This window comes from Homo sapiens, chromosome 1 (genome assembly GCF_000001405.40).
Source record: "Homo sapiens chromosome 1, GRCh38.p14 Primary Assembly".
NCBI classification, from domain to species: Eukaryota; Metazoa; Chordata; class Mammalia; order Primates; family Hominidae; genus Homo; species Homo sapiens.
Window position 1 is genome coordinate 240,210,381 of NC_000001.11, and position 26,069 is coordinate 240,236,449.

Genomic DNA, 26,069 nt, shown 5'->3' on the forward strand with positions numbered 1-26,069 from the left:
TCATTTCTTATATGGATTTTTCTACTCACTACACCATATCGGGGGCAAGAATCTGTATATTCTGATGACTTTTAATTTTTCAGTTCATCTTCTGTGTTGTTACCACGCCACTTATGTATGTGGGTGATTCATTTTAAACTGTGCCCCAAAGTCATTTTCTCTAGATATGACAGGGGAAGTTCTTGTGTTTTGTTGTTGGTTTGCTTTTTAAAAAGATGTGTTTACCCTTTTTAGGTGGTACTACACGAATCTGCAGTCACTGAGAAGACAAATAACAATGGGGTGATGGGAGGCAGTAGGAGGGAGAGGATGCCATCCTGTAAATATGTATTTTTTAACCCATGAATAATCTGCAAAGTTGTTAAGTCAAGTTGGGATTTTGAGAGATCAGACATTTCTTGCCTCCCTAGCCCACACTGAGATAAGTTTTCTTTTTACATTTTTATACAGTGGCCTGATGACTGAGGCTTCCTGGAAATTATTTCTGGGGAAAAATTTCATTCATGGATGGTATTTCAACTTTCCCATTAAGTTGATCAAACAAATGGTGGTCTTAAAGAAAAAGAATATTTTTTCCTTCTTATCTCTCTTCTTTTTCCCTCCTTCCCTCCTGCTGGCCTTCCTCCCTCCCCTTCTTCCTTTCTATTTATGCTTGCTGTGATGTAAGTTCAGTTTGATGGCTGTTTTATTGTTCTTTTGCTTAATTTTAGAGACTCCAGTACTTCACTTATTTGGGAAAAAATTGAAGAGCCATCCATAGATTGTCATGAATTTGAGGAATTATTTTCTAAAACTGCTGTAAAGGAGAGAAAGAAACCTATCTCTGATACTATCTCAAAGACGAAGGCTAAACAAGTGAGTATTTTTGTGCTTTATGAAATTGGACAGTGTTTCTGGCATAAGTGTGAACTGTCATTAGAGAAAACTTTGAAATAGTTTTTGGGCTGTGTAAACCTCCATGGATCTTAGGCAGACAGCAAGGGTTAGAACTTTAGAACATGTGGTTAAGTAAGACTAGCCCAAATAGAACAACACATAATTATCTCCATCCAGTGATAATGTCCCAACTTTTATTTGTAACATCATAATACATATTTCCAAAATATCCGCCATTGTTTCTTTCCAGAATTAGTTGCCTAGAAATAAATTTTCATTTGATTTATGTCCATCTGAGTGCTCCTATGGATGGAAAGAAAGGAAAGAGTGGGCAAAGGAAAACAATCAAGAAATCCAATCCTTAGTAACTGATAATGTGTTTGGTATTTTGTTGCATTATATCTGAAGTGGATGCCATTAGAATCCAGTTAAACAGTCACACTGTACTTGAAATGTGGAAGAGAAATCTTGTATCCATTTCTAACCTCTCTATTTTATGTTAGATCCTTTGATCTAACCTGTGACATTTTTGAGTCATAAAAAGAAAGATTGGTGCATTTCAAGAAAAACATTTCCAAGCAATTTTTTTCTACTGATATATCCATTGGACTTGTCATAAAGGGATATTGTTATAAATTTCTCAGGGGTGTCATTTGGAAAGTAGAGTAAAACCTCATGATAATGAACTCCAGATAGAAAGAATTGCTAATGGTGCCCGTCTTTACCCTGAAATGGAGAGTGGCTACATTTCTTAACTTTTGCAGGGTGGCAGGAAAGAGGTCTTGGAAGCAAAGGAATGGCAAGCAGCTCAGTCTTGGGAAGCAAAGAGGGAAAAATGAGGCTGATATCCCCAGTGTTCTCCTTGCCCAGTAGCCCCATAGGAGTTCCAGCTAATGGGGTGATTCCTCGAATTTGTGCCTCTGACCTGGAAGTAATAGCTAGGCACATGACCTGGAGTTGTTTCCATTGATATTTATTTCAGAGCAGACAATTTTCATTAGATGGACATTGCCAAATCCAGCCAGGAGAAGATGGATTTCAATGGGACAGCTAGACCCCTGTGACCCGTAGTTGGCTGGGTGAGCAGGCTCACCCCAGGCATTTTATTAATCTGAGAATAATGTAAACCCAAACATTATGCAGTTGAATTCTTTTAGAAATGCTTGTTGCATTATCACTGGTTGCTGGTGACCTCAGGTCAGTAACATAGTAAATGAGATGGCACCTGGCACATTGTAGGCACTCAATAAATATTTATTAAATTAATCAGCTGACTAAGGGATGAAGACTTTATAAATATCAGTGGCTATGTCCAGTAGTGATTAAAAACCAGAAGGTTACTCATTTCATAATAATCAGTAAGTCCAGGGTGACAATGTTAAAAGGAGTAATGGAAAATCATATTTTCTCTGGCAGAGATAAATATTTAAAAAATCCTTGGTATATTTGCATATAGTACACTGAGGCTGAATCATCGTATCTCCTCTTTTGGGTTGTGTCAGAGATGTAAAATCTGTCTGGGCGAGGAATATGGGTGGGGCTTACATTGAGAAGAGTCAGGCAGCCGGAACTGTCACATGACAAACGTGTAGATGTGGCATGGAGCCTCTCTCGTCCAGGGACCAAATACTCAGAAAATTGAGCCATGCTCTCCTTACTTCCAGCACCCCTTTTGTTTTTTTGTGTTTTTTTGTTTGTTTGTTTTTGTTTGTTTGTTTTTTTGGCTAAGGGAATACAGATAAGGAAGAAGTCTCCCAGGTTGCCCAAGACTGTAGGATTTCATTCTCTGTTTGACATAGTATTAAGTTTTAGCTTACTGAAATATGATTTACATGTAAATCATCAAACTTCACATTAAACTAGTTGGCATGAAGGGGTCTCAGCATATAAACAGTGCCTCTGTGTTGAGCATCATCATCTTAAGATAATCTCCTCATTCTGTCATTAAGGCATTTCATAAATTGTCGGTAAGAGACTTTGCCAATATCCTCATTTGTGTTTATTGATAGTGACGCTACTGTTGACCTTCAGCTTCAAACAGGGTTTATGGGACAGTCTCCATCATGACTCCAGATAAACCTATTCAGCAACTCCTTGGCCTGGGTCTTGGTGCTGAGCTCTGCACTTCAGATCTGTTTTTGGAGGGACAAAAGATTTTTTTAAATGTATGTTAGAGAAAAATCACTACAAAGTGATGGATTGCTGAAGAAACATAGTTTTATTTAACTTCATTGTATTTGGAAGAAAAATCTGTCCATTCCATTTACTTGAGACATTTAAAATTTTGTTTAAGGAAAGTGTATTTTCAGGATGCATGCAAATTGTTCCCCTTTTTATGGGAAATGTGCACTGATTGTATGTGCAGACATTTTGGTACCTTATGATTCATTTCCAGTAAAATTAATAGCCTTTAATGCCGTGGCATATGTTTATGGAGGTATTTCAAGCAATTCTTCTTATATACAATGGAAGCTGGAAGTTCTGTTTTTGTTTAAATATTTAAAAATAGCCAAATAATTTTTCTGTGATCTCTGTTCTCCTTGAAAGTAAGACTGTGGTTGAATGCACTGGTGTTTAACGAGGTGCCTGTGCTGTTTTTACCGTCATGGCAGAGACGTTTTCAGTGTGATAATAGAAGATTCCTCAGCTGGGCACATTGCCGTTTGGCATAAGGAGAAAGAGGGTTATTTTCTCTGGATGCTCAGACTGATAGAAATGAAGAATATCTTGTATTTCCAAATCCTTTTTTCTCCAAAGAGCTTAAGACAAAGCATTTTATACTTTTCTCATGGAGCATGGATTTAAGTTTGTTCTATGATGATTTCTTCATTTCTCCTTCTTTACTTTGAAGCATTACACAAAAGATTAGCTGAGAAGGTACATAGAAGTTTATCAGAATATAGTTTGACATAGTTTTTCATAACCAAATGAGTGTGACACTTTGACATTAGAATTGTCTGATGTAGAACCCCGTCTCTTAAGGAATAAAGAGGAAAATAGAAAAAGTGATCTTGGCCGGGTGTGGTGGCTCACGCCTGTAATCCCAGCACTTTCAGAGGCCGAGGCGGGCGGATCACGAGGTCAGGAGATGGAGACCATCCTGGCTAACATGTAGAAACCCCGTCTCTACTAAAAATACAAAAAATTAGCCGGGCGTGGCAGCAGGTGCCCGTAGTCTCAGCTACTCGGGAGGCTGAGGCAGGAGAATGGCGTGAACCCGGGAAGCAGAGGTTGCAGTGAGCCGAGATCGCACCACTGCACTCCAGCCTGGGCAATAGAGTGAGACTCCATCTCAAAAAAAAAAAAAAAAGAAAAAGAAAAAGAAAAAGTGATCTCTTATGATGTTCATGCTTTAGCATTCACACACATTCACACTTGCCCAATTTTAAGGAAGGCTTTAGAGCCAGTAAGTGTTTAGTCCAATCTCCTCCCTAATTCCAGGGTAGTTCAGTGATTTTTAATGTTTGTAATGACCCTAAGTCACCTCAGGATCTTTGGTGATCAAATAAGGATTAAAAAGTTTAACCCACTGGGTATGGTGGCTCACACCTGTAATCCTAGCACTTTGGGAGGCCAAGGCAGGTGGATGGCTTGAGCCCAGGATTTCGAGACCAGCCTGGGGAACATGGGGAAATTCTGAATCTATAAAAAATATAAAAATTAGCTGGGTGCAGTGGTGCATGTCTGTCATCCCAGCTACTTGGGAAGCTGAGATGGGAAGATCATCTGAGCCCAGGGAGGTTGAGGCTGCAGTGAGTTGTGAGAGTACCACTGCACTCCAGCCAGGGTGACAGATTAAGACCCTCTCTCAGGGAAAAAAAAATTCATCCGCACTCATTAGCAGGAAAGTGAGAGAATTTACTTGGGAGTGATTTTGATAATAAGGGTTGCATAGTTTTTGGTTAATCTTCTATCAAATAATGTCATAAGGAAATATATTTTGGTAAGTGCAGTAGTAGTAGTAATAGTAGTAATTATTACAGCAATAATAACCATGGAAACCACAAGTCATATTGTGTCCATTATTTACCATGTACCAGTTACTGTTCTTAGCACTTATATCAGCTCATATAATGCTCCTACCCCTGTGAGACAGGCACCGTTAGCCTCAGTTCATAGTACAGAAACCTCAGGTACAGAGATATAGCGGAATTCAATGTTTCCAAGCTGGTAAGGGGCTGAGCTCGGGTTCAGACTCCAGCCTTCTGGCTTCAAAGCCTCTGCTCTTCCTAATTAAGTGATAATTATGGATGTGGAATATTTTATATGAGTGTAAGTACAGTATTTTATATGGAGACCAGAATATATACTTTTAAAAATGAATTAAATACTTTAAAAAAAGAATTTGAATGTGTATTGGTTTTTCATATATGTTTGGTATTTAAATGACTGTGGTTATAAATAAAATTGTATGTGAGACACTTTTAAAACCTTTACCATGTTTTAGCAGATTTCTTTCTTTCTTTTTTTTAAATGGAGTCTCACTCTGTTGCCCAAGTTGGTGTGCAGTGGCATGATCTTGGCTCACTGCAACCTCCCCCTCCCGGGTTCAAGCGATTCTCCTGCCTCAGCCTCCCAAGTAGCTGGGATTACAGGTGCGGGCCACCGTGACCAGCTAATTTTTGTATTTTTAGTAGAGACGTGGTTTCGCCATGTTGATCAGGCTGGTCTCAAACTCCTGACCTCAGGTGATCCGTCTACCTTGGCCTCCCAAAGTGCTGGGATTACAGGCATGAACCACTGCGCCTGGCCAATATTTTAGCAGATTTTGACAAGTATATAAACTGTGGTTTCACCAACATGACATTTGCACAGTTAAATAAAAGTTTGAGTGGTATGAGATTTAAATACATAAGCTTCCGTAAGCAGTAAAAGTAAGAGCCACTTGCTTGTGTGGCATATAAATAGTGGTTAGAGGCAGACAGCCATTGTGGTTAAACCTTGCCAAATGTGAAATGATGCTACATTTCATTTATCCCATGGTAAAAAAAAGAATCATCTTTGTAAAATAAGCCATAGGTAAATAATGTCTAATCATGTTTAAAGGATCTGTAAAGGAACATGATACCCAGAATGTAAATTTGCACATAGAAGTCAGCAAGAGTGTAAAAGAAGAATCTGATATTTTTTAAAAAGTACATAACTTGACATTGGTCTAACCATTTAATGCAACACAATGAATCTCTTTGTGGGTTTCTTCTATGTAATCTATCAGATTAAAATTCTTTGCCCAGAGAATGGGAGAAAAAGTATGACAGTTAAATATTTGTTGGACTTTAGCCTCTGGAAATCTGATCAGAAAAAAAATACATAGTTAAATGTGCTACTTATTATAAGGGCAGGTAATAAAAGGATTTGTTAGAATTCACATTTATTACAGATACTAACTTTAAGGATTAGATATTTGGTATCATGTTTAGTCTTTCCGCTGTGCTTGATGACCTAATCCCTAAAAAAGACTTTTTAAAAATGTTCGAGGTCAGGAGTTTGAGACCAGCCTGACAACATGGTGAAACCCTGTCTCTACTAAAAATACAAAAAAATTAGCCGGGAGTAGTGGTGGATGCCTGTAATCCCAGCTACTCAGGAGGCTGAGGCAGGAGAATTGCTTGAACCCGGGAGGCGGAGGTTGCAGTGAGCCGAGATCGCGCCACTACACTCCAGCCTGGGCAACAGAGCGAGACTCCGTCTCAAAAAAAAAAAAAGTTATAAAAATGTGTAATAACGACAGGAAAAGAAGTATTCATCATTCAGCTGCTCTTATATGGGAGTACATAACGTAATACCTGTAAGTGTTCTTACGGGAAGCAGTAATTGCCAATAAAAGGCTGCTTCTTACTATGTTGAGGAATCTGGGAGAACAAGAGTGGCACACTTCAGGTATTGCCTGCCACTGTATTATTGGCTGCTATGAAAAGGAAAAAGAGATTACATATTTTATCTTTGATCTTTGCTGCAGTTTTATTTATTGCAGATATTCATTTTTAGATTGAAAACTATGTTTTATTGTAATTAGTAGATATTTCAGTGCTTGCAGAGTGACAGACTGAATGATAATTTGTGTTATAGAAGACATGTTTTGTATTGGTGTTAATTGTTCCAGTTGTAGTTGGCAAGGGTGTGTTTTGGTTGATTTGGACAGTTATATTTGTCTTTTGACCAAAGACATAAAATAATGTCTGAAACACTAAATATCTTATAATAAAACAATTTAAATTTGTTTTGGGGATACATAATAAACATTTGGTACTTTGTAACTTTTAACATCTGCTTTTAATAGAATACATTCCTATTGCAAGCCTTAAAAATGTATTTACATAGAAAACCACATCAAAATTCAAAACTATAATTAGACAAGCATAGGTTTTGTGGAATCTGGATTTGTTTAAGATGTTGAAAGATTTATTTTTTTTTTGAAGATGCTATTCCTATAACTATTTGTAGAGCATACCCAATCAATTCAAGGAATGCAATAATATTAACCTCTGCTTTTAAATTTTCTTTTAGCCAGTAAGATTGTTTTTATACTTCTAAGTAAATGGCTAAAAATAAAAAAAAAAACACGAATACACCAGCATAATATAAAGGAAATGTAATGAAGCTAATTATCCTTCACCTTGCTAGATTATATATTAGGGAAATTATATTTAGGTAATCGTGCTTTGGAATTGCATACAATTTAATCATAGTGTAGATAGTTAATTCTTTTGGATTTTATATTTATATACCACGGTATTAAGATTCTGGGCTGGGCGCAGTGGCTCACGCCTGTAATCCCAGCACTTTGGGAGGCCTAGGTGGGCGGATCACAAGGTCAAGAGATCGAGACCATCCTGGCCAACATGGTGAAACCCCATCTCTACTAAAAATACAAAAATTAGCTGGGCGTGATGGCATGCGCCTGTAGTCCCAGATACTCAGGAGGCTGATGCAGGAGGATTGCTTGAACCCAGGAGGTGGATGTTGCAGTGAGTCAAGATTGCACCATTGCACTCCAGCCTGGCGACAGAGCGAGACTCTGTCTCAAAAAAAAAAAAAAAAAAAAAAAAAAGATTCTGTTGGACTAAATGTACAAGAAAGGGGTATTAATTTTTAATGGCTAGAATGTTCTGTGTATAATTCATAGGAATTGAAGAAAGATTATAGAATAGAGTATAAGTGCTCTTTGGAATGCCAGACGCAGTGGCATGTACCTGTAGACCCACCTACAAGGTGGGCTGTTGTGGGCTGTAGTGTGCTGTGATTTTGCCTGTGATACCCACTGCCCTCCAGCCTAGGCAACATAGTGAGACCCCATCTCATCTCTAAAAAAAAAAAAATTTTATTTCTATCTGGAGCAGATGATGGGAGAGTGTTTTCTCAGCACAGCCAATTTAGAGTGGAGCCACTATTGCGGAGAGCCCTCTTTAGTTTCACTGGAAAAACTAAACAGTGAACACTTTCACTGTTGCCCCCTTTTTTGATCCGATGACAGCACAGTTGATCCATTTCAGCAGGGACTGCAGCAGAGGAAATGAGCTAAAATACCAGAAAGGGCACAGAGGTTCTCTGGAGGGCTAATTTATTGTGGAACAACCCAAGAGAGACAGTTTTGAGTAATTCAAGTGACTATACTTGAATTATCCTTCAGGTTCCATGCTATATACTAAAGATAGTGCAAACTGTGGGTGGTCAGAAGTAGAACAGAGTATATAGGCTGGACTTGGGATAAAGGCTGTGTGGAGGAGATATGATTTGAAATGGGCCTTGAAGAATTTATTTGGTTTAAATATGTAGAGAGGATTAAGGGATGATTTTTGAGAATAGCACCACAAGCAAAGGTTTCCGTGCAGCTCATTTAGCAGACCTGGCTTGCGTGCTTCTGTCTGGGAGTTTTAGGAATGTGAATGTAGATCATTTATATTCATTTCTCTTAGCTGAATGTGTTTCCTTCTCATCCTTCTACCCAGCCTCGGGTTTGTCATACTAGAAATAAGTGTGAGGACTGAATTTAGATTAATTGGACCTGAAGCTTATTTTGGTGTCACGGTATGAAACAGCAGGATGTATCCTTCTTTACCATGGACAGCAACAGGATTTGGGATGATCTCAGGGCAAAGGAGGATTTTATTCGTCATTTGACCTACATAGTCACAATTATGATAGGTCCTACCTTTTGTCTACCAGAAGGGATGCTGGTGATGACACTAGTCAGATTATTCACAACCAAACTTCGTGTGACCTAAACCGAAAAAGAGTTCCTGTTATTTGAGGGCATAAGTTTAAGATTTAGAAAAAAAATAATAAAGTTCTTATTTGTGTCTTTAGTTTCTTTAATTTAAAACTTTTTATAAATGGAAAATAAACTGTTTCTTTTTTAAAGCCATAACCATTTGCAAAATGGAGGTTTTAAAATTTTTTGTATTTATTTTTTTTTGAGACGGGGTCTCACTCTGTCTCCCAGGCTGGAGTACTGTGGTATGATCATGGCTCACTGCAGCCTCGACTTCCCTGGCTCGAGCAATCCTCTCACCTCAGCCTCCCACGTAGCTGGGACTCTAGGTGTGGGCCACCGAGCCTGGCTAACTTTTTAATTTTTATTTTGTAGGGACGGGGAGTCGCCATGTTGCCCATGCTGGTCTTGTACTCCTGGGCTCAGGCAATCTTCCTGCCTCCGCTTCCCAAAGTGCTGGGATTAGAAGCGTGAGCCACCATGCCCAGACAACGAAATGGAAGATGTTTAGTATTTCACCTTTAGTTTTTGTTAATTTATGAATCTTTAAAATTACTTTGGGACCTGAAACTGTCTGAAGTATTACTTTAGCAAGCTGTCTGGAGGAGAGTCTTCTCGAGATAGTGAGGAACTTGGTGAATCCTCTCCCCAGTAAAACAACAACTTAACTGGTGAGAATTATAACAAAAAATTGTGTAAAATCTCTGAAAATTGTCCTAAGGGCACACAGGAAACGGAGAAACAGTCATTCAAGAAAATCTCCTAAAACTCATAACAGCAAGAGTCTCTGACAGTTGAGCCACAACCCACTCTGTTACCAGCCACCCCCAGCTCTGCTCTACTCTAGACATGTGTGGCCAAGAAGACCATAGTTCTCTGTCTTTCTCTACAACTATGTCTATGGCTATGATTTTGGTCTGGGAGAGGCAGGATGCTGGCATTTCTAATTTCTTCAGTCTCCTGTTAGAGAAGCTTTATAACAGGCAAGCATGGAGAACCACGGGAGACCTTTGAGAAGGGCCCTTTAAGGATCACCATCATCGATGGAAGTAGGGAGGGTGTGAATACACACCTGCCAGGCTGCAGCCATCCAAGCAAGAGCAATCAGAGCAAGATGTGGTGTCCCCAGGAAAGCATTCGCTAACCTCATACAGACCCACCAAAACCAAGCGGAAGCTTCACTGGCATGAGTCTGTGTTTGTGTGTGTGTGTGTGTGTGTGTGTGTGTTATTAATCCCATTTTATTTATTTATTTTCTTTTATTATACTTTAAGTTCTGGGATACATGTGCAGAACATGCAGGTTTGTTACATAGGTATACACGTGCCATGGTGGTTTGCTGCACCCATCAACCCGTCATCTACATGAGGTATTTCTCCTAATGCTATCCCTCCTCCAGCCCCCCCACCCCACGACAGGCCCCGGTGTGTGATGTTCTGCTCCATGTGTCCATGTGTTCTCATTGTTCAACTCTCACTTATGAGTGAGAACATGCAGTATTTGGTTTTCTGTTTGTGTGTTAGTTTGCTGAGAATGATGGTTTCCAGCTTCATCCATGTCTCTGCAAAGGACACGAACTCATCCTTTTTTATGGCTGCATTGTATTCCATGGTGTATATGTGCCACATTTTCTTTATCCAGCCTATCATTGATGGGCATTTTGGGTGGTTCCAAGTCTTTGCTATTGTGAATAGTGCTGCAATAAACATATGTGTGCATGCGTCTTTATAGTAGAATGATTTATAATCCTTTGAGTATATACCCAGTAATGGGATTGCTGGGTCAAATGGTATTTCTGGTTCTAGATCCTTGAGGAATCACCACACTGTCTTCCACAATGGTTGAACTAATTTACACTCCCACCAACAGTGTAAAAGTGTTCCTATTTCTCCACATCCTCTCCAGCATCTGTTATTTCCCAACTTTTTAATGATCGCCATTCTGACTGGCATGAGATGGTATCTCATTGTGTTTTTGATTTGCATTTCTCTAATGACCAGTGATGATGAGCTTTTTTTCATATGTTTATTGGCCACATAAATGTCTTCTTTTGAGAAGTGTCTGTTCATATCCTTTGCCCACTTTTTGATGGGATTGTTTGTTTGTTTTTTTTCTTGTAAATTTGTTTAAGTTCTTTGTAGATTCTGGTAGATTCTGGATATTAGCCCTTTTGTCAGATGGATAGATTGCAAAAATTTTCTCCCATTCTGTCGGTTGCCTGTTCACTCTGATGATAGTTTGTTTTGCTGTGCAGATGCTCTTTAATTAGATCCCGTTTGTCAATTTTGGCTTTTGTTGCCATTGCTTTTGGTGTTTTAATCATGAAGACTTTGCCCATGCCTATGTCCTGAATGGTATTGCCTAGGTTTTCTTCTAGGGACTTTTTTTTTTTTTTTTTTAATGAAGTCTTGCTCTGTCACCCAGGTTGGAGTGCAGTGGCGCAATCTCAGCTCACTACAAGCTCTGCCTCCTGGGTTCAAGCAATTCTCCTGCCTCAACTTCCCAAGTAGCTGGGATTATAGGTGCCCACCAACACACCCAGCTAATTTTTTTTTTTTTTTTGTATTTTTAGTAGAGATGGGGTTTCACTATGATGGCCAGGCTGGTCTCGAACTCCTGGCCTCAAGTCACCCACCTGCCTCGGCAGGTTTTAGGTCTTGTGTTTAAGTCTTTAATCCATCTTGAGTTAATTTTCATATAGGATGTAAGGAAAGGGGTTCAGTTTCAGTTTTCTGCATATGGCTGCCAGTTTTCCCAACACCATTTATTAAATAGGGACTCCTTTCCCCATTGCTTGTTTTTGTCAGGTTTGTCAAAGGTCAGATGGTTGTAGATGTGTAACATTATTTCTGAGGCCTCTGCTCTGTTCCATTGGTCTATATATCTGTTTTGGTACCAGTACCATGCTGTTTTGGTTACTGTAGCCTTGTAGTAGAGTTTGAAGTCAGGTGGTGTGATGCTTCCAGCTTTGTTCTTTTTGCTTAGGATGACTTGGCTATATGGGCTCTTTTATGGTTCTATATGAAATTTAAAGTAGTTTTTTTTTTAAATTCTGTGAAGGAAGTCAATGGTAGCTTGATGGGGGTAGCATTGAACCTATAAATTACTTTGTGCACTATGGCCATTTTCACAATATTGATTCTTCCTATCCATGAGCATGGAATGTTTTTCCATTTGTTTGTGACCTCTCTTGTTTCCTTGAGCAGTGGTTTGCAGTTCTCCTTGAAGAGGTTCTTCACATCCCTTGTAAGTTTTATTCCTAGGTATTTTATTCTCTTTGTAGCAATTGTGAATGGGAGTTCACTCATGATTTGGCTCTCTGTTTGTCTATTATTGGTGTATAGGAATGTTTGTGATTTTTGCACATTGATTTTGTATCCTGAGACTTTGCTGAAGTTGCTTATCAGCTTAAGGAGATTTGGGGCTGAGACGATGGGATTTTCTAAATATACAATCATGTCATCTGCAAACGGAGACAATTTGACTTCCTATTTGAATACCCTTTATTTCTTTCTTTTGCCTGATTGCCCTGGCCAGAACTTTTAATACTGTGTTGAATAGGAGTGGTGAGAGAGGGCATCCTTGTCTTGTGCCAGTTTTCAAAAGGAATGCTTCCATCTTCTGCCCATTCAGTATGATATTGGCTGTGGGTTTGTCATAAATAGCTTTTATTATTTTGAGATACATTCCATCAATACCTAGTTTATTGAGAGCTTTTAGCATAAAGCGGTGCTGAATTTTATTGAAGGCCTTTTCTGCATCTGTTGAGATAATCATCTGGTTTTTTGCACTGGTTCTGTTTATGTGATGGGTTACGTTTTTGATTTATGTATGTTGAACCAGCCTTGCATCCCAGGGATTAAGCAAATTTGATCATGGTGGATAAGCTTTTTGATTTGCTGCTGGATTCGGTTTGCCATTATTTTATTGAGGATTTTCGCATCGATGTTCATTAGGGATATTGGCCTGAAATTTTTTTGTTTTGTTTTGTCTCTGCCAGGTTTTGGTATCAGGATGATGCTGGCCTCACAAAATGAGTTAGGGCAGAGTCCCTCTTTTTCTACTGTTTGGAACCGTTTCGGAAGGAATGGTACCAGCTGGTCTTTGTACCTCTGGTAAAATTCGGCTGTGAATCTGTCTAGTCCTGGGCTTTTTTTGGTTGGTAGGCTAGCAATTACTGCCTCGTTTTCAGAACTTGTTATTGGTTTATTCAGGGATATGACTTCTTCCTTGTTTGGACTTGAGAGGGTGTATGTGTCCAAGAATTTATCCATTTCTTCTAGATTTTCTAGTTTATTTGGGTAGAGGTGTTTATAGTATTCTCTGATGGTAGTTTGTATTTCTGTGGGATCAGTGGTGATATCCCCTTTATCATTTTTTATTGTGTCTATTTGTTTCTTATCTCTTTTCTTCTTTATTAGTCTGGCTAGTGGTCTATTTTGTTAATCTTTTAAAAAACACCAGCTCCTGGATTCGTTGATTTTTTTGAAGGGCTTTCCATGTCTCTATCTCCTTCAGTTCTGCTCTGATCTTAGTTATTTCTTATCTTCTGCTAGCTTTTGGGTTTGTTGGCTCTTGCTTCTCTAGTTCTTTTAATTTTGATGTTAGAGTGTTGATTTTAGATCTTTCCTGCTTTCTCCTGTAGACATTTAGTGCTATAAATTTCCCTCTTAATTACTGCTTTAGCTGTGTCCCAGAGATTCTGGTACGTTGTATCTTTGTTCTCATTGGTTTCAAAGAACTTATTTATTTCTGGCTTGATTTCGTTATTTACCCAGTAGTCGTTCAGGAGCAGGTTGTTCAGTTTCTATGTAGTTATGTGGCTTTGACTGAGATTCTTAATCCTGAGTTGTAATTTGATTGTACTGTGGTCTGAGAGACTGTTTGTTATGATTTCCATTCTTTTGCATTTGCTGAGGAGTGTTTTACTTCCAGTTATGTGTTCAATTTTAGAATAAGTGCGATGTGGTGCTGAGAAGAATGTATATTCTGTTGATTTGGGGTGGAGAGTTCTGTAGATGTCTATTAGGTCCACTTGGTCCTAATAGGACCAAAGATTTCAAGTTCTGAATATCCTTGTTAATTTTCTGTCTCGTTGATCTGTCAAATGTTGACAGTGGGGTGTTAAAATCTCCCACTATTATTGTGTGGGAGTCTAAGTCTTGGCATGAGTCTTAAACATACTCTTACTGAAACACCAGGGGTTCAGTCTAGTTCGTGCTGCTCGCCGCACAGAAAGCCAATCACTGAGATGACAAGTATTGCCAAGGAAGAAGGCTTTAATCATTTGCTGCAGCCAAGGAGATGGGAGCTCAGTCTCAAATCCATCTCCCTGGCTGACTAAAATTAGAGGTCTATATAGTGGGGGAGAAATGTAGCAATGTGTAAGAAAACAAGAACTAGCATGCAGCAAGGAGTCAATCATGGTGAATGAGGGGTCTGGTGTGGTGAGCTGGTGAGTTTTAGTTCTTTGATACTTATTTAGAGGCCTGAAGGTGCTTTTTGGAGGAAGGAACTCAGATAAAACAAATATAAGTTTCAAGCATTAAGACCAAATGATCAATTTCTATGTTCATCAAAAAGATCTGTCTATGGGACTATTGGGTCAGTTTCAATACCTCTGTTAAAACACTGAGCAAACAATAAGCTATTCTGACACAGGGGCAATTCCTAAGAAACGAGGCTTAAAAATAATATTGCAGTCATCTCTGGCAGTCTGAAAGCTGTGTACATACCCAAGGCTGTACCCTCACAGGAGCAACTGGAGAGGGAAAAGCCCAGTGGCTAGTTTCCAGATGAACATGGTAGAAAAAATTGGTAAATTCCCTGAATGTGATAGCAGACTCCAAGGCACCCCTCAGCCCCAGTGGTTAAGGGTAAAACCCTAAGGGCCCAGGGGCCTTAAGAATAATCTTTCACTGATAAATGGCTCATGCCCATTCAGGGGTGACCCATAGGTAGCCAGGCTGAAAGATTAAAAACGTGAAGGAAAAATGTGTGCAGGAATGTCAGGCTGCTCACTGAGCCAGAAACAGATTTCACTGAATGAGCCTAGTGAAGTAACCAAGTAAATAAATAGGCAAACCAGAAACACAAGAAGCTCTGGGGCAGGGAAGGGAAAAATCAATATCTGGAATTGATAAAATATAATGCGTGAAATGTCTAGTTTTCAACAACAAATTCAAGTCATGTAAAGAACAGGAAAGAGTGGCCTATACACAGGAAAACAAACAGGCAACAGAAACATTATTCAAAAGGACCCAGATGTTAGACTTAACAAAGAACTCAACGCACCCATTAAAAATATCTTCAAAGAACTCCAGGCAACTATTTGTAAGAAATCAAAGAAGGTATGGGGACACTGTCAAGTAGGGAATATCAATAAATAGATTGACATTATAAAATAATTCTAGAGTTAAAAGTACAATAACCAAAATGGGAAAAAATTACTAGATGATTTAACGATCGATTAGTGGTGACAGAAGAAAATAATCAGCAGACTTGAACATAGATCAATAGAGATGGCACAATCTGAAGAACATACACAGAAAAGAATGAAAAAAACTGACAGCCTCAGAAAAATGGGGGTACACCACTAAGGGACCAGTGTATGTGAACTATATCCAAAGGAGAGGAGAGAGAAAAGGGGCAGAAAAATAATTGAATGTATGTGGCTGAAAACTTCTCAACTTTATGAAAAACATTAATACACACATCCAAGAAGTTCAATGAATTCCTCATAGATAAACATAAAGAGATCCACACCCCCTATATCATAGTCAAATTGTTGAAAGCTAACAATTAAAAAGTATGAATGCAGTGAAAGAAAAACAACACATCTCATACAAGGGAACCCCAATAATACTAACAGCAGACTTATCAGAATTAATGAAGACCAGAAGGCAGTAGGATGACATTCAAAGTACTGAAAGCGAAATGTTCAACCAGTCATCTTACATCCAGTGAGAGTTTTTCTAAAATGGAGACAAAAGACAGACATTTCCAGATAAACAAAAACTGAGAGAATTTGTTGCTAAAAGACCTGGCTTTCAAGAAACAGTAAAGAAAGTTCAAGTTGAACGAAAATGATATGGTAATTTGAGATCACATATACAAAAACAAGGAGCACTGGTAAACATTTTTTATCTGCACAAAACATAGTATAATTACATAGTTCTCTTAAGTGATAGTTTGTGGCTGCAGTGAGCTATGATCGTGCCACTGTACTCCTGCCTGGGTGGTAGAATGAGACCTTGTCTCTAAAAAAGAAAAAAGACAAAAGTCCGTGAACATCTCAATAGCTGTAGAATCCGCAGTTACCAAATCGTATACACTTTAGTGACACACACACACACACACACACACATACACACACACACACAAATGGGACTAGAAGGGAACTTCCTCAGCCTGATAGCATCTGTGAAAAACCCAGGGCTCACATTGAAGACTGGATGTTTTTCAGGAAAAAGACAAGGATGTTCATTCTTGTTACTTCTGTTTAGCAATGTGCTAGAAGTTCTAGTCAAGGCAATTAGGCAAGGGAAAGAAATAAATGGTCTCCTGATTGGAATGGAAGCAGCAAAACATTTTGCAGATGACATGATCTTGTATGTAAGAAGTCCTAAGGAATTCATTAGAAGAAACTATTAGACGTAACAAGGAATCTAATTGTATTTCTAGACATTAGCAATTATCATTGTGAAAATGTAATTAGGAAAACAACTCCCTTTGCAGTATTATTAAAAAGAATAAGATACTGAAGTATGGATTTTAAAAAAGAATTTTACACTGAATCTAGAAAGCATTGTTGAAAGAAGTTAAGGAGGATCTAAATAAAGGGAACATGCCATGGTTATGGATGGGAAGACTTGATATTGTTAAGATGATGATACTTGCCAAGTTGTCCTACAGATTCAACACAGTGTCTAGCAACATCCCAACCATTTCTCCAAACTCATTTTTTTTTAGCAAAATAGACAAGCTAATTTAAAAATTCACGTGAAAAATGAAGGATCTCAGAATAGCCAAAACAATCTAGCAAAAGAACAAAGTTGGAAGCCTCCTGATTTCAAAAGTTATTACAAAACTATAGTAATTAAGACAATATAGTACTGGCATACTAATACACATATTGGTCAATGGAATATATTTGAGAGTCCAGAAATCAGTTCTTACATTTATGGTCTGTTGATTTTTGACAATGGTACTAAGACATTTCAAGGGTGAAAGAATGGTCTTTTCAACAAATGGTGTTGGGACAACTGTATATCCACATGCAAAAGAATGAGATTAGGCAATGGTTTCTTAGATCTATGACTCTAAAAGCACATATGACAAAAGAAAAAATAGATTATTCTACATCAAAGTTAACAATTTTGAATCTACAAACAATACCATCAAAAAACTTAAAAAGACAACCAACCCACAAAATGGGAGGAAATGTTTGCAAGTCACAAATCTGATAAGTGGTTAACATCCTGAATATCTAAATAACTCCTACAACTCAATAACAACAATAATTTTAAAAAAATCTAATTTCAAAATGGGCAAGGCCGAGCGCAGTGACTCACACCTGTAATCCCAGCACTTTGGGAGGCCGAGGCGGGTGGATCACCTGAGGTCGGGAGTTTGAGACCAGCCTGACCAACATGGAGAAACCCCATCTCTACTAAAAATACAAAATTAGCTAGGTGTGGTGGCACATGCCTATAATCCCAGCTACTCGGGAGTCTGAAGCAGGAGAATCGCTTGAACCCAGGAGGCAGAGGTTGTGGTGAGCCGAGACTGTGCCATTGCACTCCAGCCTGGGCAACAAGAGTGAAACTCTGTCTCAAAAAAAAAAAAAAAAAAAAAAAAAAAAAGAAAAAGAAAAAGAAAAAGAAAGAAAAAAAATGGGCAAAAGGTTTCAGTAGGGATTTCTCCAGAAAAGTATACCACTCTCAAATAAGCACATAAAAGGATACTATTCAACACTATTAGCATTAGGGAAATGAAAATCAAAACCACAATGCAACACCACCTCACATGTGCAAGGATGGCTATAATCAAAGAGAAAGGCCATAGCTAGCATGATAAGGATGCGGAGAAACTGGAACCCTCATACACCGCTGGTGGAAATGAAAAAAGGTGCAGCCATTTGAATTTCAATAAGAATTTCAAGTCTTAGCCTATTTATGCAAGTATTTGCTAGTAAGTATTTTTTATGAGAAGGTAAATAATTTTGCTGGTAGCACTTGTTACCCATAGAATGATCATGATATCAGACTATAATTTTCTGGATAAATAATATATTTTTCAACCTCAAAAAACCTTAAGATAAACTTTTTTTTCCCTAAAAATAAATGGTCAAAAGTTTAAGCTGTTTTTAACTTAAAGCATAATATAGTTTTATAGGCAAGAGTTCATTAATCTCAGAAGGAGAAATTTATAACTTTTTTCTTTGCTTTTGATGAAGAGACTAAAGATATATGGACTGTGATTTTTCTCTTGAGGAGTCTGGGCTCTGGGAATATAATTAAAACCCCTTTGGAAAATCCTTTCTGGCCTTCTGGGGGATTCTGGTGACTTTCGGACACAGTCACCAGAATCCCCCAGAGACAGATTTGCTGTGTTTATGAAGATTACCTCCACTGTTGTTTTAATATTTGACAGTAAACTGGTTTTATTGCCTATTTTCATAAAAGTTTTGAAGACTCTTTCTTCCATCAAGTCTTCATGGAGGAAGGAGGATTGAAAGCAAAATCTAAAGACTTCTGTGTTTTTAACTTACACGTTGAACAGACCTATGTGGAAATAGAGATTTGCATTATTGAACCTAAATTTGAATGCACAAATTAAAATTAGCCCATACCCCACCATTCTTCCCCCTCTTCCTCACCTTATCCATCTCCCTCCCTCTCTCTTTCTTTCACGTGCTGTGATGTTTGATCTTCTCTTGGTAATCAACATACCTTACCCTTTATGCTCATATACAGAGTGAAGATCAAAAAGTATTGATTTATTGGTGACAGTTAATGATGCCTCCCTAGAAGAGTCAGGACTTAATATGCTGCTATGATAGTACCAATGTACTGTTTATAAAAAATGACTATGTTTGGTGGTTCTGTGGAATTGTTTCATGTGATGATGCGCCAGGTTTAAAAGTGAATGAAATGTCTGTGCTATCCTTCCATAGCTGACTTTTTTTTTATTTTTATTTTTTTAAGAGACAGAGTCTCAGACTGGAGTGCCAGTGGCATGATCTCAGCTCACTGCAGCCTCTGCCTCCCCGGTTCCAGCGATTCTCCTGCCTCAGCCTCCTGGGTAGCTGGGATTACAGGCATGCACCACCATGCCCAGCTAATTTTTGTATTTTAGTAGAGACAGGGTTTCACCATGTTGGTCAGGCTGGTCTCGAACTGCTGACCTCAGGTAATCCACTCACCTCAGCCTCCCAAAGTGCTAGGATTACAGGTATGAGCCACCGTGCCCAGCAGAAAAGTATCTTTGAAATATCAAGTTTTAGTAAACACATTTTAAGAAACTGTAGTATAAACCTTGCTAACCAAAAATTTATAGAAGAGAGGCCGGCGCAGTGGTTCATGCCTATAATCCCAGCCTTTTGGGAGGCTGAGGTGGCAGGATCACTTGAACCCAGAAGTTTGAGACCAGCCTGGGAAACACAATGAGACCACGTCTCTACAAAAAAATACAAAAATTAGTTGGGCATGGTGGCATGTGCCTGTAGCCCCACCTACTCCCAGCTGCTTGAGAGGCTGAGGCAGGAGGATCGCTTAAGCCCAGGAGGTCAAGGCTGCAGTGAGCCGAGATCAAGCCACTGCACTCCAGCCTGGGCAAGAGAGTCAGACCCTGTCTGAAAAACAACAACAACAACAAAAAAACTAACCCAATAGCTTATAGAAAAGAAAGAGAATAGTGTAAATGAAGTTAAAATGAGAGCAGGAAGAGCTGACGTCCCCTAAAGCTTTGATGCCACCTAAAGTATTTCTGTTTTTTCCTATTTTTTCTCAGAGAGCCATAAAAAAATTTTGTTTTGAGGTGTGTATTAGTAGGAATGTAGGCAAGGCTTTTCTTTAATTGATCCATGTGTTAATCTTTATGTATAGTTCTGTGTATTTTTCTATATGGATTGTAATGTTGCCATTAAAACTTTTTACAAAACATGTATAGGTCACTCTTTAAATTTCCTTAGCTGTAAATATAGTACAGAATGACTCCTTTTCTCTTTTAATACTCTCCTGTATAATGTTGTTGGTGTTTTTACTTGCAGCTCCTTTTACTAACATTTTGTGTACTTAATTACCCCTGTAAGTAAAGCTTTTCATAATTAGGATGGAATTTTGCCTGCTTTTTTCTAGTGCCAACAAAAGAAACTAGCATGTTCTTCATGCTAGAAGCTAGAATCTGAGTTGAAATCCACTTGCAGCTGAGTGCTTTTTAAATGATCAGCTTTTCTTCAATGGCCTAGATCGGCACAAGGCTCCATAGAAATTGGCTTTGAGTTGGTCTCCATCCTTTGAACTGGCAAGGAAAGACACAGTAACTTGTTTTGTTTTGAAAGCTAGATTGCAGTATTCCCCCAGTGATGCCAGACTGACTTGGCTGTTGTGTTGTAAGTAAAAACTTTCCTATTCCAGTAATGCCAGCCTTCTTCTCAATACTGCCACACACGAAGCAGGTAGACACACAGCTATTCCAAAAACAAGAAAACAAAACAAAAAACTCTCTAATTTGACCATCTCTTTGCGTTCCACATTAAGCCTTCCAAAAAATAAAACAATACAAACTTGCCAAATATAAGACCAAAACAAAGCTTTTTCTTTTTAAAATGATTGAAAATGTATTTCGCTATGTTTCTACCAATGTGAACAAAGCTTGACTGTATTAAAAAATCTGATCATTATAAAATGCAGATGAAGAAGATCAAATGGCAAGGTGGTTTCAGTTTATTCTGAATATTTTAGTGACAGAAAGTTGAACAGGAAGGAAACAGGTGTTAGTGTAAAATACACAGTTTAAAAGCAAATTATACCATCGGCTAAATTAGAATCATTTATTTAACTAGGAGGAAAAGCACAGCTTCTGAATAGTGATTTGAAGGCATAGAAATTTGAGGGCCTGAGGTGTTTAATCTGGCATGATTTGTGAGGGGCTTGTAGTAGGTACAGTGGTGACTTGAAATAATAATTAGGTTTGAACTGATTCAGTAGTTTTGCATTTTCAAACTTGGATTTAGTTTGCGAGATTTTTTCTACCCAAACAGCATAAAGAGCTTATGTAAGGCAAGCTTCTTTGGGTTTATGTTATTTAATAAATGTCTTCAAGCACTAGAAATAGTGGTTTTGAAGAAGTCCTCTTGTCACATCTATCCGGTCTTATCATCCTCTGAGTTTATCCCTTTTAAAAATCCCTCTGTTCTCCAAAGCGTTTGTAGGCACTTCTTGAATTCATTGATCCTCATTGCTTGGTTTCCTTCCTGGTAACATCTTCCATATGTTTTCTTCACTTTTTCAGATAAGAGTATTACTTATATTCTCTACCATGAGCATCTTAACATTTATGTTGTTGAATCTCTTCCATTTGCTCATTCTTTTTCTTTTTCTTTTTTAATTTTTTTTGAGATGGAGTCTTGCTCTGTCACCAGGCTGGAGTGCAATGATGCGATCTCAGCTCACTGCAACCTCCGCCTCCTGGGTTCAAGGGATTCTCCTGCCTCAGCCTCCCAAGTAGCTGGAACTACAGGCACCAGGCACACACCAACCACCAGGCCCAGCTAATCTTTTTTTTTTTTTTTTTTTTTAAGTAGAGACAGGGTTTCACAATGTTGGCCAGGATGGTCTCGATCTCCTGACCTCGTGATCCACCCACATTGGCCTCCCAAAGTGCTGGCATTACAGGCGTGAGCCACTGCACTCAGCCTCTTTTTCTTAATTTGAAATTATGCAACACTATGGAGTTGAAAACCTACTTAAAAATATCTTTTTCATACACGTATACTTTAACAAATCCAGACCATGTCAGCTTCTGATGTTTCTAACAGGAAAGAATACATCCCTCTTAACTACACTTAACATTTTAGATTGTTCAAGAATCTCTACTCTTTTCTGTATTCATGTTGAGATACAATTAGCATCTCATGTATGGCAACCAGGATTGCATGCAAAATTCTAGAAAGAATCTATAACATATGACTCATACCAAACAGTAATTTGTTTGTTTTCAGTTTGCCCTCTTTTTTTCTTAATCCAACTTAATAAGTCATGTTTGCCATTCTTGAGGTTACTAATATGGTTTCACAGATTTCAGTACCCTGTTTTAATAACCACGGCATTCCTTCCTTATAATAGTCTACTATACATTTTTTTTCCCCGCTAGGCCACCCAGGACTTTGTTGAATCTGTCACATCCTTACTGTTTTTCTTACTCATCTTACTGTGGCCTTGCTGTTTTGCTCAGATATTTATTTTATCTTTTCTGTGTGTTTACTCACATCAACATCGTAGTTTTAAAATGTAAGCTGTTGTAAATTTCTAGTGGTTTATTGTTGCCCACGCTTTTAAAAAATTCATTCATTCACTGTAACAGCCACTTAATAAATTCAGATTATTAGAAAACTACTGTGTATGATGGCCGGGCTTGGTGGCTCACTCCTGTAATCCCAGCACTTTGGGAGGCCAAGGCAGGTGGATCACCTGAGCTCAGGAGTTCAATACCAGCCTGACCAACATGGTGAAACCCCGTCTTTACTAAAAAGACAAAAATTATCCGGGCTTGGTGGCGGGCACCTGTAATCCCAGCTACTCAGGAGGCTGAGGCAGGAGAATCGCTCAAACCCTGGAGGTGAACAGAAGTTGCAGTGAGCCGAGATCGCACCACTGCACTCCAGCCTGGGTGACAGAGCGAGACTTCATCTCAAAAAAGAAAAAAAAAAAAAAAGACTGTGTATGGGTCTATCTTCCTTTTAAATTTCTTTCTCAAAGCATGTAAAACCATCTCTCTTGCTAAGACTATTCTACTGAGTTTTAAATTTAATTCCACAGAAGTCATCTAGAGGAAGTGACATACTATTGTTCTGAAGACTCATGCTGAGTTTAAGAGAAAAATTCACATTTGAAAGATGTTGCTTATTCTGAAAAACTCAATATATAAATCTTACAAAGAATAGGACCACCTCATTAATTAATTAGTAGGACCTTACAAAGAATAGGACCACTTCATTAATTAATTAGTAGGACCTTACAAAGAATAGGACCACCTCATTAATTCATTAGGGATAAAACCAGCCTATGATATTCCTCCTCTTTCTGTATGCGCATAAAAAGAACTAGAAGCAAGAGGCAGGCGGACTCACACATTGCACATTGGCCCCCTCCCTCCTTAACAAGCAAAATAGCCCATTTTAGTGATCCAGAAACCCTGGAAATGGATTCTTTACAACTATTGACGATACCCACTGGCAATGATGGTCTATATTTCATAGTTACTTTAAAGTCCCAGGCAGATGTGATTCAGCCTTTCAGATGGATGAAAGGGATGTTGGAAGGATAGAATTTTTGCAGGGCATGAATTCATTATTTCTTGGATCTTTTTAACTGATAAGGTATTTTAAACTCATAGACAGCCGTGAGTTTAAATTCATTCCTTTCCATCTATTCCAGTCAGACTTCCCTTGAGCTCATAGTGCCAGCTGGTTTTTCTAGGGGGACAAAGCGGAAAAGAAAAAGAGGCAGAAAAAATTCGAAGAAATTATTGAATTTTTTTGCATTAACAACCTCCTCAGGTGACACTCATCCCCCCTACCCTCGCCATGATTCTTACCTTCTTCCCGATGACCCCTGAAAAGAGGAGAAAAAGGTGAGAAGGGCCAAAGAAATTTTACACAATGGGCAGAACTTCTGTCGGAGAAGATATCAAGGGTGTAGAGATCTTCCAGAAAAGGGAAAACCCATTGTAGAAGAAAGGGAAACAGGCCTTGGAAGGGTGAGTGCACCTGAGCATTGTATGTGAAGATGCTGATTTGTCTCTTTAGCCCAAATCCAGTCTGAGTTTGCATGTCTGTATCTTTTCCACCACAAAGAGACATATATCTTGCTTGCCATAATTGTGATGTTGGACAATAACCACATGATTTCTGCTTTAGGAGATGTGTAAAAAACTTTCTGTCATCACCACCAACCCCCCCACTACAAATGTGTGTATCAGCCTCCCCACAGATTAGCTATAATTAGAAAACCATGTTGAATCACGTTGAGTCAGATGAGGATAACTTCCTGTATTCCCTGTATCCCTGAGGAAACTAAGGTTTATTCTCTTCATGACAAGCTAGTTTCCTTACTTTATTTCTCCAGTTATGTTTTAGCAAAGCAATTATATAAAAATATTTTTTTCATATACTTATAAACTTTTAAAAATCCTGGCCATGTCAGCTTCTAATGTTTGTAAGAGGAATGAGTACATCCCTCTTAACTACACTTACAATTTCAGATTGTTCAAGGATCTGTATTCTTTTCTGTATTCCATGTTGAGCTACAATTAGCATCCTGTGTATGGCAACCAGTATTGCATGCAAAATTCTTCAAAGAATCTATAACACATGACTCATACTAAAGAGTAATTTGGTATTTATACAAACTAAAATTATTCTCTTTCCTGCCTCTACTTTAGTTTTTTGGCTTCTAATTCAAAAATGAGAAAGGGGGAAAAGATGAAGTCTAAGATATTGCGATAAATCAAGAGTGACTTCTTTCTGTCCAGGGTATCCTCATATACAAGTTGAGAAAGAGTGCATGGACGTCATCTTTGCACGATTAAATAGAAAGACTTCTAAGCCAAGATATCAGTCTATGGTGAAGTTAATATTGCTATGATATTCATTTGCTTTTCATTTTAAACGCTCCTTTTATTTGGATCAGATTTTGATTTTTAAATAATTTAATTAATTTTTTGTTTTTTTTTTCAGAGATGAGGGTCTCTCTCTGTTTTCCAGGCTGGAGTGCAGTGGTGTGATCATCGCTCACGACAGCTTCAAACTCCTGGGCTTAGGTGATTCTTCTGCCTCAGCCTCCCAAGTATCTGGGATTATAGGTGCATGACACCATGCCTGGCTAATTAAAAATTTTTTATTATTTTTTTTAGAAATGGGTTCTCACTATGTTGCCCAGGCTGGTTTCAAAATCCTGGGCTCAAGTGATCCACCCACCTCGGCCTCCCAAGTTGCTGGCATTACAGGCATGAGCCACTGTGTCCAGACCCCAGATTAGTTAGTTGTGTAATCTTGCATCAGTGAAGGGCATAAACCTCAAGCTTTTCCTGTCTTCTGGTGAAGTCAACCAGTACCTTTGAGAATAAGGAGCCATCTCCCCTCTTCTTCCTCTGCCCCATATCAAAGTTGGCCTGGCAGAAAAAAATCCCACCCAGAATGTCTGGTAATGTATTCATTAGTCACTCCTGATCATTCAGATGTTTCTTTTTTAAGTTTCTAGTTTTTTAATATCTTAGGTTATTCATGTCTATTGTATCATGTGTGAGGGTTTCTTCTTCCCCAGGAGAGTGTTTTTGGTGTGGAATTACCTTGTACCCGTTTGGAGATAGACACAAAGGAGGTGGGTGTGTGATTCATGCTTGAGCAAATTTACTCCATGCATGATCTGCGGTGAAAGTTGAAGCCTAGGATTCTGCTGATCATTATGGCGTTTTTTGCATGACTTCAGCTCTTTGCACTCATTCAGTTCTATTGGTAGAAAGGTGATTTCCTTTCAGGTGTGACCTGAAAATGGAATTTTTTCTCATCTCCCTAGCACCATCCATACTGTTCAGAATGGAAGCTTTTAGCTTTAGTGACTCTCACTCTCGCCATGCCTTTAACTACATACTTCAGGCCCCTAATACAGTGGGACACCCCATGGTATTTCCTCGTCGCCAGCATTAAAGATTATGTGTTCCAGAATCATTAGACTTTTTGAAAAGACCCCTGTGTTAG

At 38.6% G+C, this 26,069-nt stretch overlaps 1 protein-coding gene across 9 annotated transcripts in view; it reads left to right on the forward strand.

Moving 5' to 3' along the window:
• FMN2 (formin 2) overlaps positions 1–26,069 on the forward strand; it is a 383,305-nt gene that overhangs the window by 118,498 nt on the left and 238,738 nt on the right. For 7 of the 9 annotated variants that reach the window (NM_001305424.2, NM_020066.5, XM_017001837.2 and 4 more), the window contains one exon: positions 711–855. The exons of 1 other annotated variant lie outside the window; for it this stretch is intronic. In NM_001305424.2, the coding sequence (NP_001292353.1) occupies positions 711–855 (145 nt within the window). Of the gene's footprint in view, positions 1–710; positions 856–23,870; positions 24,034–26,069 lie in introns of those variants that run through there. One more of the 9 variants, XM_017001838.2, reaches the window with a different exon arrangement.